General features: G+C 39.4%; 1 protein-coding gene across 62 annotated transcripts in view; it reads left to right on the forward strand.

Moving 5' to 3' along the window:
• The window catches only part of PRPF18 (pre-mRNA processing factor 18), a 68,965-nt gene that overhangs the window by 38,978 nt on the left and 25,670 nt on the right, over positions 1-4,317 (forward strand). The gene's annotated exons all lie outside the window — the stretch shown is intronic.

Raw genomic sequence — 4,317 nt, forward strand, 5'->3', positions numbered from 1 at the left:
TGACACTTAAGTAGTGCTTACTGTGCTTCCCTTCAGTACTTTACAGCCACAATATGAGATGGACACTCACATTTCCCTGTTTTGTAAGTGGGGAAGAGGCGTAGAGAAGTGAGTTCTCAAGGTCACATGGCTAGTCAGTGGTAGAATTGGGATTGGAATGTGGGCAGTCTTGACTCTACCTGAGGATGTCCTCCATCCAAAGAAAAAGATCCAAGAGCTGAGATCCACCACAGAGCAAGGCGAGAGGAATCCCCAGGCTGGAGCTGCAGGGATGTCATGCTCCAGGATGGTAGCAGTACAAGTGGGTCCAGGTTAGAGTAGATGGTTGAAGGACTCCAGGAAGAAATGGAAGAGCTTATATTCCCTGGCATGTCTGATCAGATCCTGAGTGATGTTTGGGCATGTGAGGGTAGTCTCATGTTGGAGAATGGATTAGAAAAACAAAACAAAAAGGGGAAAAAAACTTATGAGAGGTCATCATCATAATATGTTATGTGGGTTTGCTTTGAACGATATTTGTGTAGCCTTTATAAGGAAAACCCTGAATATTGATTTCACTAAAAATGTGGTTTGGGGAGGATGTGGGAGAAAGTGCTTTTGAGGCGTGTGCGTGCATATGTGGGGCCAGTGGACAGTGGTGTAAGAGTGAGATATCCTCTGCTTCATAGTAGGAAGTCAGGAGATATCACTAATATCTGGTGGAAAAACCAAGCACTGTCAGTATAGTATTTAGAAATGTGGCAATAAATGCCAGAGGAAACACTTAAAACGTTTGAAAAGGGTTGCCTGTGGAGAGCTGGAATTAGGATTTGGAAAGAGTGAGGTAGAGGACTGCTATTATTTGATACAAGAATCGTGTGATTTTTTTTTTTTCCCCTCAAACAGTGTACACAGAAAACCCGGAATTATCCTTGGCTTTTTTCTTCCTGTCACAACCCATATCCTATCCATGTCAAAGCTTGATGGTTCTATATTCAAAGTATGTCTGGAGCCCGATCCCTTCTCACCACCTTCCTTGCTGCCACTGGGTCCAGCCACCACCTCTCATCTGAATTATTCCAGTGTCTTCTCTCTGGTCCCTGAGTTTCTCTTATTGCTCCTCTCCAGTTTCTTAGCAGCATTCCCCAGACTGATCCAGTTCACATACAGTCAGATCGTGTTGCTCTGTTGTTCAGAACCCTGCAGGGGCTTCCTAGTTCACAGAGTCCAAGCCAAAGTCCTTCAGGTTGCCCCACACGTCCACTTACCCCACTTGCCTGCTTTATTTTCTCCAAAGCACTTAGCATCGTTGAAAATTTTTTTTTATGAATTTATTTTGTTTCTTGCCTGTCTTCCCTTACCACAATTCGATCTCAGGAGGGTGGGATTTTTTCTGGCTTCTTCGCTACTGTATTTCCAGAGCCTAGAACAGTATGTATAGTAGGCACTGAATAAACATTTGTTAGATAAGGGTATTGCCTTTATATAAATAAAAAGCCAATTAAAAATACCACAAGTTTTTAAGCCATTTGCCATAAGCTAAGCTAAGCAGCTCATTGTTTTACTGGCTTAAGCATCCATAAGCAGTTTGAAACTGAAATCCTGAGGGGTCTAATTGAAAAGATTTGTTTCCATCTGGAAAATAACGATATTCTGTCCTGAGATTACACACCTATCTCTGCCATGCACTCTCAAATCTTTTTTACAAAAATGTATCATACCGCTCTGTGGTAACTACTTATGACTAAAACAATTGAGTTTCACAACCCTTGGCAGCTAAGATTTCAGGGAGAACACTAGTATATGTTTTTAAATCATAGAATCTGCTTAGTGAGTATAAATAGGCATCACACACGTCTTCTGTAAGGAGCACACACCTAAGATTCCAATTCTTCTGACATGGGGAAAACCACCTCCAAGGCAAACCATCAGTTTGCCTTCCGCTTGCGCATAACAATTCTTGCCATGCTCTGCTGCTGAGTGAAGCTATTTGTATTTCATCAGGGTGTTCTCTTGCCTGACTTTGCCCCTCTTCTCACCTATTCCTTCAGGAACCTTAAGATGCCAAATTAGTGCTATCATCTATATTTCCATGGCTACCGATCAAAGTTCTGCATACACATGATTAGAATTCACAGCAGGATAAGCTGGACTATGTGATGGAATGGTCTTTATCCCAAAGCAAATACCTGATTACACAGGGAACAACAACAACAAAAAGGAGCCAAGTGAATGACGTGTGCAAAAGCCCTTCTTGTGAATCAGTTGAAAGATAACCTCCCTCCACACCCCTAATTCCTAAATCTCATAATGTGGGCAATCCTTGAATCCACCAAGGACTTTAAATACTTCACAGTCTTGTTTCTCTGATGTGGAATCTGTTAGATTATGGCTCCATTCATAGAAGTATGTCATTTGTCCCTTAATATCCTCAGGGATTGGTTCCAGGACCCTGCAGATACCAAAATCTGGATGCTCAAGTCCCTGATAGAAAATGACATAGTATTTGCATATAATCTATGCACATCCTCCTGTATACTTTAAATCATCTCTAGATTACTTACAATACCCAACACAATGTAAATGCTATTTAAATAGTTATTATATGATATTTATTTGTATTATTTTTAATTCTTTTTTTGTTGCCGTTTTTTTCTGAATATTTTTTAACCAGGGTTGGTTGAATCCATGGACACATAACCCATGGATACTGACTGTGATTAATATTTGTGTTGTCTGCTTACTATGGGACCAATGAGATTTTGCAGGGATTTTTGTGTTGTTTGTTTGTTTTGGTGATTTTATTGAGCTTAACAGGTGTTAAGTTACGTAGATTTCAGTAAGACCTTTGGCAAAGTCTTTCCTTGTAAACAAGGAAATGTGTGTGTTAATGAATTGCACAGTGAATAGGATTCATTGCTGGTTACAAACTCTTCCCAAGATCGTTTTGGAGAGAGCTCAATCGTGGTGTGTCTCAGGTCTCTGCCCTTGCCCTGGCCTGTTTGCGCACGGTATTGAGTATTTGGATAATGACTTAGAGGACATGTTTACCGAGTGGTGGATGAGAAAGCTAAGAAGAATAACTAAAGCTAAATGTCGACCAAGGATTCTGAAAGATCACAGACTGAAGGATGAGTTGAAAGAGACAGGATGAAATTGAATAGTGATAGTTGTTTTCATCAGCTTAAAAAATCTAACTATAAAGTTATACACTGGAGAACTGGCCAAACTGCTGTAGAGACAAAAGGCACTTGAATTTTGTGAGATCGGTGGGAATTAGGTGTGTGTATTGTAGTTGTCTAAAAACAGCTAAGGGTCTTGGTTACAGTTGCCAAGATACAGAACAAAAGTAGTGCAGTGACTACTTCTAGTGAATTCTGCAAGAATGGCCAGGTCACGCTTGGAATGTTGTACTCAGTTTTTACTGACATATTAAAGTGGTTTTATTGTGTAATATTTGGTACATACAAAAGAATACATGTAAAACACAAGTTATAAAGTAAGTAATAAAATGAATGTCTAAAAGCCTTACTCCCAGTTTAAGAACTAGAACATTCTGAAAACCATTGAAACAATATTGTCCTTCCATACTCCAGAAGTAACCATTACCTTGCACTTAAGTTTGTCATTTCCTTTCTTTTTGAAAAACCGTTCCACCATGTTATATGTGCATTTCTAAGTAATACATTTTTTACTTGTTTTTGAATTTTATGAAAAGGATGTCACTGAAGGTAGTAACACTTCATGCCACTTGCTTTTTACTTTCGACATTGCTTCTAAGATTCATATACATCGGCCTTTCCCAACCAGAGCCCCTCATCTTGACCACAGAACACAGAAAATAATTGGAGTGTATTTTCTCAGTCCTCCAAACATGATACATAAATAGTCTCCTAAATTTTAGATGCATAAGGGAGAAGTTATCTCGTTACATACAATGGATGCCTTAGGCTGGGCATTTGGAGCTTAATTCTCTATTGGAACCTGGTTGAGACTGGCCGAATTGTTACATGTAGCTAGAGTTAATTCATTTTTACTGCTGTAAGATATCCCATTTGTGAGCACACTAAAGTTTTTTTCATATGTCCTCCTATGGATGGAAATTTGGGTTGTTACCAGTTTTTTGGTTTTGTTATTGTGAACAGTTCTGTGATGAACATTCTTGTGTGGACCTGCAGGTGCACAAGAAAAATTTCTCTAGGCATACATCTGAGTGAATTTGCTTGGGTCTGCTGCATTTTATGGGGACATTGACAAACTGATAACGAGTTCAGAGGAAGGCAGTTAAGAATAATTTAACCATGTCATAACCAACCTTTGTTTTCCTTATTTTCTTAG

Source organism: Homo sapiens, chromosome 10 (genome assembly GCF_000001405.40).
Source record: "Homo sapiens chromosome 10, GRCh38.p14 Primary Assembly".
Taxonomy (NCBI): Eukaryota; Metazoa; Chordata; class Mammalia; order Primates; family Hominidae; genus Homo; species Homo sapiens.